This window comes from Homo sapiens, chromosome 4, assembly GCF_000001405.40.
Source record: "Homo sapiens chromosome 4, GRCh38.p14 Primary Assembly".
Lineage (NCBI taxonomy): Eukaryota > Metazoa > Chordata > Mammalia > Primates > Hominidae > Homo > Homo sapiens.
In genome coordinates, this window is record NC_000004.12 from 180,385,715 (window position 1) to 180,403,910 (window position 18,196).

General features: G+C 36.1%; 1 long non-coding RNA gene across 3 annotated transcripts in view, besides 2 other annotated features; it reads left to right on the forward strand.

The window, feature by feature from the left end:
* Positions 10,814-10,975: a silencer, noted in NCBI's record as "fragment chr4:181317681-181317842 (GRCh37/hg19 assembly coordinates)". NCBI's record gives its function as "represses an EF-1alpha promoter that drives an FKBP-Casp9 reporter gene in an ReSE screen in phorbol 12-myristate 13-acetate-treated (for megakaryocytic differentiation) K562 erythroleukemia cells {active_cell/tissue: K562(+PMA)}" and the evidence as "EXISTENCE:reporter gene assay evidence [ECO:0000049][PMID:32094911]".
* LOC105377567 (uncharacterized) overlaps positions 11,808-18,196 on the forward strand; it is a 158,458-nt gene continuing 152,069 nt past the window's right edge. Inside the window, exons 1-2 of one of the 3 annotated variants that reach the window (XR_007058395.1) lie at positions 11,808-12,128; positions 13,783-14,771. This is a non-coding gene — a long non-coding RNA (uncharacterized LOC105377567). Of the gene's footprint in view, positions 12,129-12,562; positions 14,772-18,196 lie in introns of those variants that run through there. The other 2 variants (XR_001741469.2, XR_007058394.1) reach the window with 2 other exon arrangements.
* Positions 13,446-13,615: an enhancer, noted in NCBI's record as "experimental_76597 CRE fragment used in MPRA reporter constructs". NCBI's record gives its function as "activates a minimal promoter by MPRAs in K562 erythroleukemia cells, with activity observed for both the introgressed and non-introgressed 4:181320398 variant alleles {active_cell/tissue: K562}" and the evidence as "EXISTENCE:reporter gene assay evidence [ECO:0000049][PMID:34662402]".

Below are 18,196 nucleotides of genomic sequence, written 5' to 3' on the forward strand. Positions count from 1 at the left end.
TGGCGCGATCTCGGCTCACTGCGACCTCCGCCTCCCGGGTTCAAGTGATTCTCCTGCCTCAGCCTCTGGAGTAGCTGGGATTACAGGCGCCCACCACCACGCCTGGCTAATTTTTGTGTTTTCAGTAGAGACAGGGTTTCACCATGTTGGTCAGGCTGGTCGTCTCAAACTCCTGACCTCAGGTGATCCACCCGCCTCGGCCTCCCAAAGTGCTAGGATTACGGGCGTGAGCCACCGTGCCCAGCCAGAGATGCGTCTTATCTCAGTAGCCTAGGAAGGGTAATGGTGGGAATATGCAAGACCAGGGTGGTCCCTTGACTAGCCATTTCTTGGAACACAAAAGTTAGGAGAATTTTGCAACCATCCCTTCTTTCCAGGGAGATAGAATATATTTAAATGTACACATGCAACATTTCAAGAAGAATTTAAATTTCACAAATGTTATCTGTTTACATAATCCTTACTCCTGCCCAAAGGTCTGTGGAGTCAAGAGTAAAAACTTATGCTCCTATGGTTTCCTCCCAGAATTTTTTTTAACTGTTTGTCTTGAAGAAATGGAGTCTTATATTTATGTTATATTTATATTTAAATAAACTATCTGGTATTTAGAATCAAATTCTAACATATATTAGACAAGGAGTAAGTGATTTGATATATTTTGTCTCATTTTGTTCTACCAATATTTGCCATTTTACAAACAAGAAAACTAAGGCTCATATAGTTTAAGTGATAGGCTCTATTTAGATTTGGACCGTCTACTTCCATATGCATAGTTAGGAATTAGTCATGTCAACCTTATGCCATCGAAATGTCAGCTAGTATCACCTCAGCCCTGTGACTATAGATATTAATTGACTTGAACTTTGGTATTGGTGAATAATTGAAAGTCTACCCTGAAATTTCTGCAAATTCCAATGCACTCATTATTGGTGGTCATCTCAAATTTTGAACTCTTGCTTCAGATAAATTAATTCTGCTCATGGAACATTTTACTATACACTGTATTTATATAATATATCTGTTCTAAAACACAGCAAACTATATTTGAAGAACTATATTTGAAGAGTGGGCCCTTTCCTTGAAATACATGAGTGCAGTGATGCAAACTCACATACTTTCCTATGTGAGTACAGTCAGGTCTGTAGATGACTGATATTTCTCCATTTACTCACTGGAATTTATTTCTATTTTCTATTTCTATTTGACAGATTTTTATTTATATTGTATTTTATTGATAAATTGTTCATTAATTGTGGTTCTGAGTATATCTGAAATATATCTCTATCTCTTCTAGCTTGTACACTTTTTAAAGTGGGAGGGAAGTCAATATGCATATTATTTTCATATATGGGCAGGCAATTAATTGTTGGATTGTAACTATATTGATGTGGATGAAATGAAAACACATACTTATTAAGAAATTATAAAATTTTATAACAAAGGAAAACAAGACATCACAAAAGTCTTATTGTTGACTTTCCTATGTAGGATTTTTTTTTTCTTTCCAATTACTAGCTTTTTTTGGTTTAATGGGCTCTCAAATAGGCCTCACTGGCTCTCTCGCTTCCTGGGTGATTAGTGGCAAATGCTCAGCTAGCACAAAGCACTGCAAAACATTTTCTATTCAGGTCAGGCACAGAATTTGTCATTTTTATTTTCAGTGTGTGCAAAATGATTGTTTACATTGACTCTTTTACAATATCAAGGAATTTTATTTATCATTCTATTGTTGAAGGAAAGTATTGGTATTTCAAAATAAAAAGCAAAATGTCAATAAGATAATTTTTTCTTTTTCTTAATAATGTCTTAGCCATATATACACATTTCTAATCATAATTTGCAAAACATTTCCAAAAACATTTGATTAGAATTAGTTCAGTACACATTATATCTAACTTTAATAAAAATGAGGGGCCAATATTTTAAACATTGATATTCTTAATATTTCCCTAATCATAATGTCTTAAAGATTTTTCTTTAATCATTTACCATAGTGTTTAGAATGAAGGAGTAACTTTATTAAAAGTGTATTCAAATCAAAACTTGCCTACACTATCTTTTAAAGGGAGTTCAGCCAAAATTGTATCAATTTTAATAATGTTGGTCAAGTTCCTTTACCTTTCTGGCCTCATCTTCTTCATGTAAATGACTTAATGGCACCAAAGCCCCAAGACTGTAGTTAGGATGAATGAATGAATAGTGGAAATCATTTAAAATGGTACCCAGTTTCTAGTAAGTTCTTAAAAACATTAAGATGATTATCCAGTTAAACTAGATTCTTTTATAGAAGATGCAATAAATCTTATAAATGGTATAACATTTGCCAATATTTTTACAAGTAGTAAATAAAACTTCAAAACTAGAACCTAGCTCTCCTCTGAATAATTACAATACATTATAAAATCAAGGCATGTATACTGAAAACAAAAGGTAGGGAGCAGCAAGGCTTCCTGTGAATGGGATCAGGGAACGCTTCATGGAAGTAGTTGCTTGGAACATAGAAGGGCATTCCGGGCAGATGTAAACGTGCTGGGAGGCAGGGATGCAGGCCCTCCCCCACATTTACACAGCCCTGAATAAGAGTACAATCAGAGGCACTTGTACTGTAGACCAAAGTATTTGAAGCCTATAATGAACAGTTAAATGAAATATTTTGTTTGTTTGTTTTCTTACTTAACAGTACATGTTTCTATAATAACCTGCAGGATCAGGATAAGGTTCAGAATTCTTAGTCTCCTCGGAGTTCACGCACAACATGGCAGTAGAGGAGGAAGATCCAGGTTTCTTGATCTGTTCCCTGTCCCCCTTAATCCTAACAGCTTCAGAGCAGCCTCTGTCCAAGCTCTGTCCTCCTGCTCCCCAAACAGATGCCCTGTGGCCATTTCTCAGGCCTAGGAGTAAGCACATCAGCAATCTGTCCTCATAAGGAAGGACTCCCAAGAGAGGCTCCAGCAGATGTTAGATGCTTCCTGAGGCGTGCTGAGGGGATTATAGTTTGTGAGCAAATGTGTGGTAGGCCCTGGGTGGCCAGATTCTGAAGGCCTTGTACATTCCTTGCACCACTGTGAGGGGCAGAGCTGGAGGAAGGACAGAACAAGAGCCCAAAGTAGGTTGGGATCCCTGTCCCTTAATCTAAAGTGGGCATGGAATCATGTGGCATTTCTGAGATCTAAAAGTTATTCTAAAGCAATATGAAAAAGTCTTTGGCGGAGGCTGAGTCTGGAGGCAGAAATACCAAGAAGCTATTGCAATGGGCAGATTTATGAAAATGACAGTGAAGACAGAGAGGAAGGTGCAGATGGATTCCAGAGACACTTAGGTTGTATGGTCAATAGAACTCAAGGGCCAACTAAATTCCAGGGAAAGTGGAAGAACTTGGAAACCAGAATGAATGTGAATTCATTGTAGGGAGGCGGGTAAGTGGAAATTTAACTTTATTCTAGTGTTCTCTGCCGCACTATGCTGCCTTTAAGGTGGAAAGGCAGTCTGTATTCGAAGTCCAGAAGTATTGTTAAAATTTTACCACTTGAATTTGATCTAGTAAAATAAAGTTAATTGCTATAGTTATGCTTTTCAAGCATTATTTGCTTGAGAAATGCATTGTTTGTAGACATGTTTATTTAGGTTTGGAGTTATGCATACCCAAAAGACACAAACACATATAATTCATTTTGATGTAGGTAGTTTTACATCACCTCAAAACATAAGCAGATGTGTTCTTTCAAAATGCTATTAATTATGTTACCAGGTGAAATCCTTCTCATTTTACCTAGTTCACTGAGTCTGTTGAACATTTTCCTGAACCCATCTTGACCCTTTAAGTGTAGATGAAATTCTTTCAAGTTGTAATACATCCGGTCTAATCAGGACTCTGAAATAAAAATGAATCGTCTTTAAACCAAGGCTATGATGATGATAGCTACTGGCTTGGAAAGAATTCTTTAATTATTTATGTAAATTTAATTATACCAGTTTAAGTAAAGGCTTGCCATAAACATTAGTCAAAAAAAGATAATTACTTGAATGGCATTAACTCTAATAAAGCAAAATAAACAGACTATACTAATTAGGAACTAAAATGCATATGCTGTGAACCTAATATGAAATTTTCAGTTATGAAATTGCATTGTGTAACTTGATAAAGGAGAGTTGTTTATTGCTGCTCTCATTAAAATAAACCCTCCTTATAGCACTTAGAATGTTGGACTCCTACAGATAACATTATAATGAGGGGATGATGCATTTTGATTGAGTCAACACAAGGGAGAAATTTAATTTAATTAAACTGGTCTTCATTAAAGTATTACATTGAAGTGAAGTAATTATATGGCACATACAGTATGGAAGAAATCCTGCTGTTTAAAAGGGAGGACACTCACAATCGACCGGCCTTGATTTTATTATAGAGCCCCTCTCTCAGTAATTAACCTTGAATTTGAATGTAATGATACAGCAGAGTAATATTCTTTCATGCTCTGGTTTTTAAAATAAACAACATCTTTTATATATATATATTTATATATATATTTATATATATTTATATATATATTTATATATATATTTATATATATATTTATATATATATATTTATATATATATTTATATATATATTTATATATATTTATATATATATTTATATATATATTTATATATATTTATATATATATTTATATATATTTATATATATATTTATATATATTTATATATATATTTATATATATTTATATATATTTATATATATATTTATATATATTTATATATATTTATATATATTTATATATATTTATATATATATTTATATATATTTGTATATATTTATATATATTTATATATATATTTATATATATTTGTATATATTTATATATATATTTGTATATATTTATATATATATTTGTATATATTTATATATTTTTATATTTATATATATTTATATATTTATATACTTTTATATATTTATATATTTATATATATATTTATATACTTATATATATTTATATATTTATATATATATTTATATATTTGTATATATTTATATATATTTATATATTTATATATTTATACATATTTATATATATTTATATATATATTTATATATATTTATATATTTATATATTTATATATATATTTATATATTTATATATATTTATATATATATTTATATATTTATATATATTTATATATATTTATATATATATTTATATATTTATATATATTTATATATATGTTTATATATGTTTATATATATTTATATATATTTATATATATATTTTTATATATTATATATTTATATATATATTTATATATATATTTATATATGTATATATATTTATATATATTTATATATGTATATATATTATATTTATAAATATATATAATATATCCATGTAGCTTTTGTACATGTAAATATCTATGTAGACACATATTTGCATATTTGTGTATATATGCACACATATACATATTTGTGTGTATATATGTATGCAAATGTATATATAAAACTGATAAATATAAGCATATTAATACTAATCCCTAAATAAATATTAAGCAAACATTAAGCAAAATAATATATGTTTCTTAGAGCTGTATTCTCTATATATCCAACATAATTATTGAATATAACTACCTTTTTGGAATAAACAGTTTATGAACTTAATGTTGTTAAAAGATTCAAAAAAGTGTAGGCGGTAGATGAATGAGTAGAAGTAGGGTTAAAATTTTAAATTGTGGGAAACAACCTGTGATCATTACAGTAGCCTCTTGATATCTCCACCAAGTTGATGACATTTTATTTGTAGTGTAGAAAACATGCCTTTGGATGTGAAAGAGTATGGAGAAAATGATTACTTCAATTACTATTAAAAGATCTAAGGATAAACTACTTTTTCTTTCAGATAATCAAAATTAATTTTTAAAAACCTGTGGAAATTATCATACTTCTAAATGAATCAATCAGTTAACTGGTTACTTATCTGGATTTATATGTCAAAATCAGCAAATAGAAAATTTTAACATCTTCGATCTCTTGGCTTCTGTCTTGGTTCAGTCTGCTCTAACAAAGTACAATACTGGGTGGCTTATCAACTACTGAAATGTACTTCTCACAGCTCTGGAGACTGCAAATCTGAGATCAGGGTGCCCACATAGTTGGGTTCTAGTGAGGGTCCTCTTGCAGGTTGCAGACTGCAGACTCCTTGTATCCTCACATGGCAGAAACAGGGCTAGAATGTCCTGGAGGAATCTCTTTTCTAGGGCACTAATCCCATTAATGAGAGCTTCATCCTCACGATCTAAATTATCTCCCAAATGGTCCACCTCCTACTACCACCACATTGGGGACTGTGGTTTCAACATAGGAATGTGAGGAGACACAAACTGTCTAGTGCACCTTACTTATCTGTAAACGTTTCCTTGTTTCTTCAGCTACCCTCTTGACCACTTCTTTGAATCTTTCTCCACTGTTAAAAAAGGCTCTGTATTGGGTCTTTGCCTGATATGTCTGTATTCATTCATTAATAGTTGGAGAAATTTAAGGGCTGAGTTAAGCCTAAGTGAGTGATAGTGCACCACTTGTGAAGTTTTGCTGAGTGACAGTTTTATTCTTCAAAACCGAGACAATTATATTGACCTATCCTGGGCCAGGCACACATTTCTGGAACAGAATATTATACTTGTCTATTTTTTTTTTTTTTGAGATGGATTCTTGCTCTGTTGCCCAGGCTGGAGTGCAGTGGCACGATCTCGACTCACTGGAAGCTCTGCCTCCTGTGTTCACGCCATTCTCCTGCCTCAGCCTCCCGAGTAGCTGGGACTACAGGCGCCCGCCACCACGCCCAGCTAATTATTATTATTATTATTATTTTGTATTTTTAGTAGAGACAGGGTTTCACCGTGTTAGCCAGGGTGTTCTTGATCTCCTGACCTTGTGTTCTGCCCACCTGGGCCTCACAAAGTGCTGGGATTACAGGCGTGAGCCACCACACCAGGCCTACTTATCTATTTCTACTCACTACTGCTTCCACTGTAAAGTCTGTGTGAATTATTTTCAAATCTGTTCTCCTCTAACTAGGATCCAGATCATACTTCTACCAGCTTTGGTAGAAGCTACCCATTTCCAACTATTGAAAGCCTCTTTGATTAGCAGCTCCTTAGGAAAATGCCACCGTTTCTGTAAATAATTTTCCTGCCTTCCCCACTCATATTCTCATGTCTCTCAAAACATTATTTTTTCTCTTCCTTCTCTTATATTTCCTACCGTCTATGATGTCAGTTTAAATATCTGGATGAAGCTGGAAACCATCATTCTGAGCAAACTTATCGCAAGGACAGAAAACCAAACACCACATGTTCTCACCCATAGGTGGGAATTGAACAATGAGAACACTTGGACACAGGATGGGGAACATCATACACCGGGACCTGTCGTGGGATGGGGAGGAGGGAGGGATAGCATTAGGAGATGTACCTAATGTAAATGATGAGTTAATGGGTGCAGCAAACCAACATGGCACATGTATACATGTGTAACAAACCTGCATGTTGTGCACATGTACCCTAGAACTTAAAGTATAATAAAAAATAAGTAAATATCTGTCTTCCTTGTATATATACTTTTCAGTCCTCAAGTGCAGAATCCATATTAGAATGATTTGTACATGTCCAGTCCTAGAATCATGCTTAAATGTAGTGAGAGTTCAGGGTAGGATCTTGGCTCTCAATTAATTGATCGTTCATTACAGTAAACGCCATTTCATTGCCAAACAAATGAAGTCCAAATTTCTATATGGGTCTGGAATTGCATATAATTGTTAAAATACTGAAAGGACATGGAAATAATTGATTACATAATCTATAAAACCCTACTTCTATTTGACTAACCACAATGAAAATGGCTTTTTTGATTATACTATTAAATTAGATTTTATTTCATGATACAATCTAATCAACCTCTTTTACATACATATTTGTTTTCAAGGTGACACGTTTAATGATTTATTATATTTGGGGCAGAAAATATGTTTTTGTGTAACAATTTCAACCTATTTTATATAAGAGATTTGATTTTTAACATATTTATCAATATTATATTTCAAAATAAAATTCAGTAAGAATTTCTGACTAAGTCAGCTGGGTGTGGTGGCTCGTGCCTGTAATCCTAGCACTTTGGGAGGCCAAGGCGGGCAGAACATGAGGTCAGGAGTTCACGACCAGTCTAGCCAACATGATGAAGACCCGTCTCGACTAAAGATACAAAAAATTAGCCAGGCGTGGTGGCATGCACCTCTAATCCCAGCTACTGGGGAGGCTGAGGCAGGAGAATCACTTGAACCTGGGAGGTGAAGGTTGCAGTGAGCCAAGATCGCGCCATTGTACTCCACCCTGGGAGACAGGGTTAGACTCTGTCTCAAATAAATAAATAAATAAATAAATAAAAGAAAAAGAATTTCTGAATAAGTTGATTCAGATTAATTAATATTTTTTAGGATTAGAGAGATATTTGCCAAGATTTATTGCTAAGTCAACTACTTTCACAGCTATTTAGAAAATGTCTTTAATCCATAGGTGTTTGTAACATTTCCTAAGAAACGTGATATATTTGAATTTTAAAAGATGCTTATATATGTTTCCACCAAGACTGGCTAGAAATGTCTATTTTATCACTTTCATTCTACACCCATTTATTTTGACTTTCCATTCATTGCATACGTGTATACTAGGGGAATTATGAAAATATATATTCTAAATTTTTCTGTTGCTTATCTGTCTGTGGCCACTAGACACTGTAAGGAGATCATACCACAGGGAGCCTCATGTTCTCTTCCTTTGTACGTATTCAAAGCCCACTTCCTTCCTGTAGCATTCATTCCACAGGAGGCCTTAAAACTTATATTTTCTAAAATGTTGTTCACTGTTCAAGTTCTCAAAAGTTTGAAATATAAACCAAAATAAGAGCTATTTTTATTCACCACACAATGCTTTCATTTTCTTCTAGTTTCCTTGGCACACGGTAAAATAAATGTTTTATAATATAGTGCTAAATATTTTGATAAAAACAAAAGAACAAGTTGAGTGTGCAAAGATGTATATAGGAAAATAAAGACATTGTTAACAATCAAATTTTAAGCTTAAGAGAGGATAGCAACTTAGTTTCGCAAATCGCTTTAGCGAGCAGAATCTCCTTTGAGCCTCATGAAACCTCTCTGGAGACAGTTCAGTGTTGTTATCCTGTTTTGCACAGGAGGAGATTGAGGTTTAAGGAGGATATTTGGTTTGTTCAAACTTAATAGTGTAAGGGCTAGGTTTCCAACTCTGGTCTTTTGACACAAGGTCTGTTCCTCTCCCACTATTTCATATGGCTAACAATTATCACAGACATTTTTCTCTCTTTACCTCTTTTCTAATTTATCAGGCTAATTTATCAATGCTTCAATGAATTAAAAAAATTTAGAAGAAAATCTGAGGACATAACATAAAACTTTCCACAAGTATCACACCCCTTGCATATAATGAATGCAGGAGATTTCTTTTCTAGGAGTTTTCCAGAGCTATATTTAAAAATATGATTTAATTTTAGTTCATTCTGAAAATCGCTGCTTATAAAATACTATCACATTCATGGTTCCTTGCATAGTTTCTTGTACTTTATCAATGAACATGGATAAAGTGCCTAATTGTGTTGATCTTGCCCATATGAATTTCTGGCACATTCATATATCAGTTCTCTAATTCTCAACTTCTTCCTCATTTATAAAATGGAGATAAAAACACCTCCACTAAGGAATAAATGGAATTACATACATATCACATATATAATACATAATTAATCAAATATATCATTATGTATTGTAGGCATATATGTGTATACGTATATAATATGTATTACATATCATATATGTCTATATAATACATATAGACATATATTACACATGTGATATAACTCATATATGAATATATAATATATAATTATTATATGGAATTGTATATGTATATAATTACCTATAATTATATACATGCATAATTACATCTAATATTGTAATTATATATAATTATAGATATATCACATGTATGATTATATACATGTATATGTAATCACAATTCACAAAAAATCAATATTCAATAAATGATAGTTTAAGAAAGCATGATTATAGCAGAAAGTGATGTTGTCTAGCACCAGAGTCAAGTTCTACTGAACACATCAAATAAACAAATGATTTAAAGTTGATTTTTTCAATCTTTAATGCACATTATTTTGTTTTTGAACTTGTGTTTTTAAATTTTTTATTCAAATCAGCTTAACATAAATGTAAATTAAAACCATATTCCATGTAAATTTCACAAAAATTCATTTATGCTTATATGAGCCAAACTATCCAAAAGCTTATACCCTGGAGATTTAGTTTATTCTACAGAACAGGCTGTCCTTTTTTTTTTTTTTTTTTTTTTTTTTTTTTTTTTTGAGACGGAGTCTCGCTCTGTCGCCCAGGCTGGAGTGCAGTGGCGCGATCTCGGCTCACTGCAAGCTCCGCCTCCCGGGTTCACGCCATTCTCCTGCCTCAGCCTCCCGAGTAGCTGGGACTACAGGTGCCCGCTACCACAGGCTGTCCTTTTTTTACAATGTTCATCTTTTATCAAATTATTTTCATAGGTCTTACATTCTAAAATGATATTAGTTAACAGTTGTAATGTTAGTTGTGATATTCAAAAAAAGTCAGTAAAATCAAGAACTTTGTATTATGCCAGAAATTTAGAATCTTCTCATAGAATTGATATAGTCTCTTACTCATTCTAAATAATTCATATTAATGAATATTATTTTAAGAATGCGATATTTCCACATCTAATTGCTGATTCTACAACGTTCTTCTTGACAATATTTAATTCTTGGGCCGGGCGCAGTGGCTCACACCTGTAATCCTAGCACTTTGGGAGGCTGAGGCTGGTGGATCACCTGAGGTCAAGAGTTCGAGACCAGCCTGAACAACATGGTGAAACCCCTGCCTGTGCAAAAATACAAAACTTAGGCCGAGCGTGATGGCTCATGCCTGTAATCCCAGCACTTTGGGAGGCCGAGACCGGCAGATCACGAAGTCAGGAGATCGAGACCATCCTGGCCAACATGGTGAAACCCAGTCTCTACTAAAATACAAAAAATTAGCCAGGAGTGGTGGCAGTCGCCTGTAATCCCAGCTACTCAGGAGGCTGAGGCAGGAGAATCACTTGAACCCAGGGAGGCGAAGGTTGCAGTGAGTCGAGATCGTACCATTGCACTCCAGCCTGGGTGAAAGAGCAAAACTCTGTTTCAAAAAAGAAAGAAAGAAAATATTTAACTCTCTTCTCTAGCTTAAAATGCCATTCATTTCAGTCTAATTAACTAACTTTGTTGTTTCATTAATTCTTTTATCATTATGTATATATACTGTCTTGAGAGAACTTGTTTAATTTTGGATAAATAAGTTAAATAATGCAAAGGTGGAGACTTTTTTGTAATGAATGACGAAAATACACGTTTTTGGGTTTTTTTTTTTCTTTTTTCTTTTTAGACAGAGTCTCGCTCCTGTCACCCAGGCTGGAGTGCAGTGGCATGATCTCAGCTCACTGCAACCTCTGCTTTCCTGGGCTCAAGGGAATCTCCTGCCTCAGCCTCTTGAGTAGCTGGGATTACGGGTGCCCATCACCACATCTGGCTAATTTTGTATTTTTAGTAGAGATGGGGTTTGGCTAATTTTTGTATTTTAGTAGAGACAGGGTTTTGCCATGTTGGCCAGGCTGGTCTCATACTCCTGACTGGTGATCTGCCGCTTCAGCCTCCCAAAGTGCTGGGATTACAGCCACAGTGCCCGGCCAATACTCTTATTTTTTATTTTATCAAAAAGAGAAATTATGCATAGCTCTCTAATGACACTTATTTTATAGTAGTGATGACAGTAGTACCAGTTTCCTGTTTGCTAGTCAGAAACACACACTTAAAAACTCTAAAAAATAAATTAGTTCTACAAATTCAACACATGTGGTCTGTATTCTTCAAGATATTTTATAATGGTTTCTCTTTCAAATGCGATTATTCAGAAGTGGAAGTTATCTCTTTTCAGCTGAGCTTGCTCGAATACTCCGTTCTGCACATCTCTCCTTGTAATGTGAGTATTTTCTACAGTGAGAACCAAAAAAGAAATGCTTCTTAAAGGATCTTTTTCGTGGAGTCTGATCTGACATGCCCTTTTAATGTTCCCTGTGCCTTTTCACATACAGCATCCACAAACAAACTCTCCTATGTGTTGACTCATACTCCCAGCAAGTATGTTTCATAAAAACATGTAGAGCAAGAGAAACCCCTGTGTAAATCTAGCATCTTCCAAGAACGTGTAGGCAGAAAAATTCATCTTTCCATTGTTGTTGTTTATTTTATTATTATTTTTTATACGGGATCTTGCTTTGTTGCCCAAGCTGGAGTGCAGTGGTGGATCATAGCTCACTGCAGCCTTGAACTCCTGGGCTCAAGCTATCCTCTCACCTCAGCCCCTGAGTAGCTGGGACTACAGGCACGCACAACCACACCTGGCTAATTTTTAGTTTTTTGCAGAGAGCAGGTTTCACTATGTTGCCTAAGCTAGTCTTAAACTCCTGCCTTCAAGCGATCTTCCCGCCACTGTCTCTCAACGTGGTGGGATTAGGGGTGTGAGCCACCGTGCCTGGCCTCAACTTCCTTTTATTCTCCAACATTATCATGTCTCAAAAACCCAAAGACTGAAACTTCAGTGTCCATAATTTATTATTAAATGCATGGCCACCACATCATCATCAATTATTTTTCTGAATTGTACTAGCACAAAGTAATTTCTTGGAGTTTTGGTTTGTGTTTTGGCTTTTAGTGAGGAATTGGATTTAAGTTGATTAAAATGAGTGTGTAACAGAAAAGACTACAAATGTTTTTCCACATCATTCAAACGCACATTCTACGCTCCATCTGACATGGGGCTGCCTGTTTTTTCTGATTGTTTGCTAGTGGTTAGAGTTACATCTGTAGCCCTCATCGATGGCCAAGTATTACCCAAGACTTGGCTGAGGTTGCTACTTCTTCATTCATTCTGTTGTCTGCTCTCTTCGTTCTTGGTACATCAGTCTCCTCTTGCCACTGTTCTCCATCTGTCTCCAGGAGCCTGCTCTCTGACTTCCAGAGCTCTCAGCTTGTTGCTTCAATTAACTTTTCAGTGGACCCCTTGGCAGCTTCCATAGTTTCCTGCTGGTGCTTCCCATTTTCCTACTGCTTTTTTATCACCGTGCTTGGCTTCCCAGCACCCCCACCCCCATTTATCAGTCCTCAGCTGGTTGAACTATTGTTTGAAGCACTCTGGATTTCCTGCTGATTTTATCACTAATTCTTCACTGATCTTTTGTTACACTTTTATTTCATTTTCTTCCCAATTTTGTCTTCAGGACGCTGGCATTATCTTGCAAGACCCAGTGCTAGGAGAGCAACTCTTCCAAGAATTCTTCATCTAGCAGCTATTTAGTTATTTTTTCAATTAGAATTGACCAAGAGTGAAGTATATTTTTCACTGTGTCTACTGGGAAAAATACTACTTACATTTGACAAGGTGTTTATATACATATACACTATCTGGTTGCTGTGATGTTAGTGCTTCAATTCCAAAATATTCCCCTGGTGACTTGTTAAACAACCGTGTCTTTCGCAGACTTACTCTGATAAGGTGGTTGCCTTGAAGAAAATTGGTATTACTTACTATTTACATTTTAAGAAGAATGATCCTGGTGTTTCTTTGTCTGGTCTAGCAATCTTCGGCAGGGTTATGTCTTGATTACTACAAGGTCCTATTCTCAAGAGTGGTGTTCACAGTCTAGATCTAAGGTAAAGTCTTCTCATTATTGATTTTTGTATTTTTCATGCCTAGTGTCACATAAGAATTGCAAGAGACTCCTCCAGGACTTATGACTCCCTAGAGGCCAATATTAAGTATCATATCAACTCTTGGTGTTGACTTTTTCGTATTCACACAAAACTTCCAAAGCCTAAAAATTTCTAAGGATAAATAAAAAAGACTTGTTTCAGTCTCCTGAGAAAATAATTTGTTTAAAAAGTTAACTTAAAAAATAGCTTACCTTAAACTTAGAAATTGCAAATGTATTCATTACAGACTACTTTTGGCCAGATGCACTCATATACGTAAAGTAAAAGAAATGTAACAAGTGCAAAATAGTGGAATAACTATAGCAGTTAAGCCTGTATAGAGTTTAAGTATAATGAAAGTGACATGAGCTTTAGAAATAGACATTTTTCTGTTTAAATCTTGGCTCCCTCGCTTTCTAGCAAAGTAATCTTAAGCAAGGTTATAATAATAACCTGTAGTTTGGAGAAGATCGATGATTTTTAAAATTTTTTTGGTCTGTTTATTTTTAATAGTAAAACTTTTTAAAAATCATGATTAATCTCAGCATATTTATTTTACAACAAGGTTAGTCCTAACTTCTCTGGTTGGAGCCAAGCATTTGGAATGGTTTTTCTTCAACTTCTACAGGGTGGCTCGGAGAAACTTTTATATGTCTCCAAGATTCTGTGGAACAGTTTGAAAGTTCCCAGACTAGATAAAAAACTCATTGTATGAAAGACTAAATGCAGCAAATGATGCTATTGTCCACACACTTTATCACTGTGTTTCAGGTGTGATTTCTTCCCTAAGACTAAGGACCCATCATTTTAGTGCAACCTTCTTCATTTAAATGGAGAGTTGTAATTGCCAATGCTCACAGCTACTCCTGCTCTGGTGAGTTCCCCATACCTTGCTCCCAACTACTCTGTCTCTCTACCACAAGGAGGCTTGGTTATTCCAGTACCAATCCTGTCATGTGCATTAGTGCTGCCTAAAGCATTCGCCGAAAAAGCTCTTCACTCACCCTTGCCATTCCCTCATCATCCTCACACTCATAGTCACAGGCTCTCTGCCTCTTCGCTAATCTGATCTTTCCTTCCTCTTCTGCCAGAATATCCAAACACCTTAACTATGCCCTCTGGAATTCCCTTATTTATACCAGCTCCCTTGCCCTTCTCTTCCTTCTTTAAATTAACCTTATAAAATCCTAAACCAATATTAGAATTCTTCTAATTCTTCTGCGCCTAAGATAAATTTTTTTCTTGCTTAAAATTTATGACCTCTGGGCTCAAATGACTCTTAATCGCTCTTTTTTTTGTTTGTTTGTTTTGTTTTTTTGACGGAGTCTCGCTCTGTCGCCCAGGCTGGAGTGCAGCGGTGCGATCTCGGCTCACTGCAAGCTCCGCCTCCCGGGTTCACGCCATTCTCCTGCCTCAGCCTCCCGAGTAGCTGGGACTACAGGCGCCCGCCACCATGCCTGGTGAAGTTTTTGTATTTTTCACAGAAACGGGGTTTCACCGTGTTAGCCAGGATGGTCTCGATCTCCTGACCTCGTGATCCGCCCACCTCGGCCTCCCAAAGTGCTGGGATTAAAGGCGTGAGTCACCGCGCCCGGCCTCTTAATCGCTCTTTAGTAGCCCTCTTATGCTTTCTTGTTTTTTTTCCCCTCATGCTTCATCTCCCTAAGTAATTATTTCATGCCTTTTTCTGTCAACGTATCTAATGCCCCCTTCCCCATCATCACTGTCAGCTGGTGACCGTAGTTCCCACGCAGCTGGTGACCTTAGTGCCCACGCAGCTGGTGACCTTAGTTCCCATGCAGCTGGTGACCTTAGTTCCCATGCAGCTGGTGACTTTAGTCGTCATGCAGCTGGTGAGCTTAGTCCCTATGCAGCTGGTGATCTTAGTTCCCATGCAGCTGGTGACCTTAGTTCCTATGCAGCTGGTGAGCTTAGTCCCCATGCAGCTGGTGACCTTAGTGCCCATGCAAGGGAAAGAAGGAAAAAGTAGGGAAGAACCTCCCTGTGTTCCCATCAGCACTCTACCCTCTTATCTTCACTAGATCTCATCGTTCTCTTCTACCCAATTATTTTACTCTAGCAATTATCTCCCTCCTATCTCATACATCAATTATTCTCCCTCTTCGGGGTCATTCTCACCAGCTTTCAAACTGTGATAAAATTTTCTGCCTTAAAGGAAAAGCCCTCCCTTCATCCAGATGTTGCTTCATTTCTCTACGGCCAAATTATATCAGAACTCCTTTAAAATGTCACCTATATCCACCATGTGCTATTCCTTTGAAATAGCTCTTGAAACAACTCTGCCAAAATTTCTACTAATCAGAATGTTTAAATTCAGAGGTTAATTTTCCTTCCTAGTCTCATTTGACACTGTTGCTCACCCTTTCCTGAAACAGTGTATTTGGTTCCTGGAGCACCATTGCTCTCATTTTTCTCGCTTCCTCACTGGCCATTTATTCTGTTTCCCTTGCTGGTTTCTTCTCATCTTCGTAACTTTTTTTTTTTTTTTTTTGAGATGGAGTCTGGCTCTGTCACCCAGGCTGGAGTGCAGTGGCACGATCTTGGCTCACTGCAACCTCTGCCTCCCAGGTTCAAGCGATTCTCCTGCCTCAGCCTCCCAAGAAGCTGGGACTACACGTGCATGCCACCACACCCGGCTAATTTTTTGTATTTTTCGTAGAGATGGGGTTTTACCGCATTAGCCAGGATGGTCTCAATCTCCTGACCACGTGATCCGCCCTCCTCGGCCTCCTAAAGTGCTGGGATTACAGGCGTGAGCCACCGTGCCCGGCCTCATCTTCCTGACTTCTTAACATTGATGTGCCATCCTTGAAACTTCTGTCCATTTCACCTAAGTAACCCCTATGTGATCTCATCTAGACTTATGCCTTTCTATACTATCTTACAGATTTAAGCTCCCAACCTACACCTCCCCCCAAACACTAGAGTCATACCCTCATACTTTCAGTTACACTTGGATGTCTAGTAGACATCTCAAATGTAGCACACCTAAACCAAACTCCTGACTTCCCCATCCAAAACCCCTGATCCACCCCAACCCTTCTTTATCTTGGTAAATGGCAACTTCATCCAATTAGATCCTGAGGGCGAAACCTTTAGAATCACCCTTGACTCTTCATTCTCTACTATCCCACAGCCAGTCTATCAGCAAATAAGAACTGTCCTGCTACTTCTCCCCACATCCAACAGAAATTCCCTTGCCCAGCCCACAGCAAAAATTTTACTTGGATTCTTTTAGAGTTCTTCTTGAACTATTTTCTCGTTTTCCCCTTTTGCTACTACAGTGTCTGTTTAGTCCACCAGCCAAAGTGTCACTTAAAATTTGAATTAAGATTTGTCCTATGTTTGATAAAAATCTTTCAATAACTTCCCACTTCGCTAAGTGCAAAAGCTAAAATCATTTTAATGAGCTATTATTAGGGTATCCATATAACTTCCCATGCAAACCTAGGTGTTCTTTCTCCTGGAAAAAAGCTTAATGGTAATCACTTCCAGACAACATGTGTCAACAGGCACATTCCCAGACAAACTGGATGTGCTCTGCTCCTGCCTATACGTCCCTACGCAATCTACCCTGGTGTCTGCAACATACTTGACCTCCTCCTCTCCTTCCTTCCTCCGTCCTGCACACACCTCTCTTATAAACCGCACTTCTTGCATGTCACAGAAGCTGCCAAGGATGCTCTTGCATCAGGGTTATTTGCTTCTGCAGATCTTTTCGCTCGAAATACCCTTTCTTGACTGTCTGCAGAGCTCACTCTCTAAAATTTCTTTTATGTTTCTGCTGAGATTTTATCTTACAAGAGAGGTTATCCTAGACAACTTACCTAAGTAACTATCCTTTCCCCACCGTGGCATGGCCGTACTCCTTTATCTTCCTTTGTATTTTTGTTATACCACTTATTACTATCTGATATGTGTTTTAATGGATTTGTTTATTATTCCCTGCCCTGCCCATTAGAATGAAAGTTAAAGTGCAGGGACTTTGTCTGTTTTACTCCCTACTGTGTTACTAGTCTGGAATAGGTTCTGAACAGAGAAGGTGCCCAATTAATACTGTCAAATTAATGCATTAAAAATGTTGATGTCATGCTACATTGGTTCTGATCTTCTAGCTTGTCTGTCATTAATCAGATCATAAAAGTCAGCTCATATTGCACAAATTCATGTAATTGTCCTTCATGCACAGAAATACAATATAATGTGATAATGGGGACAATTTTCTTGTTTCCTTTTACTGATGGATGTATTTATATATACACATGTAAATATATATAT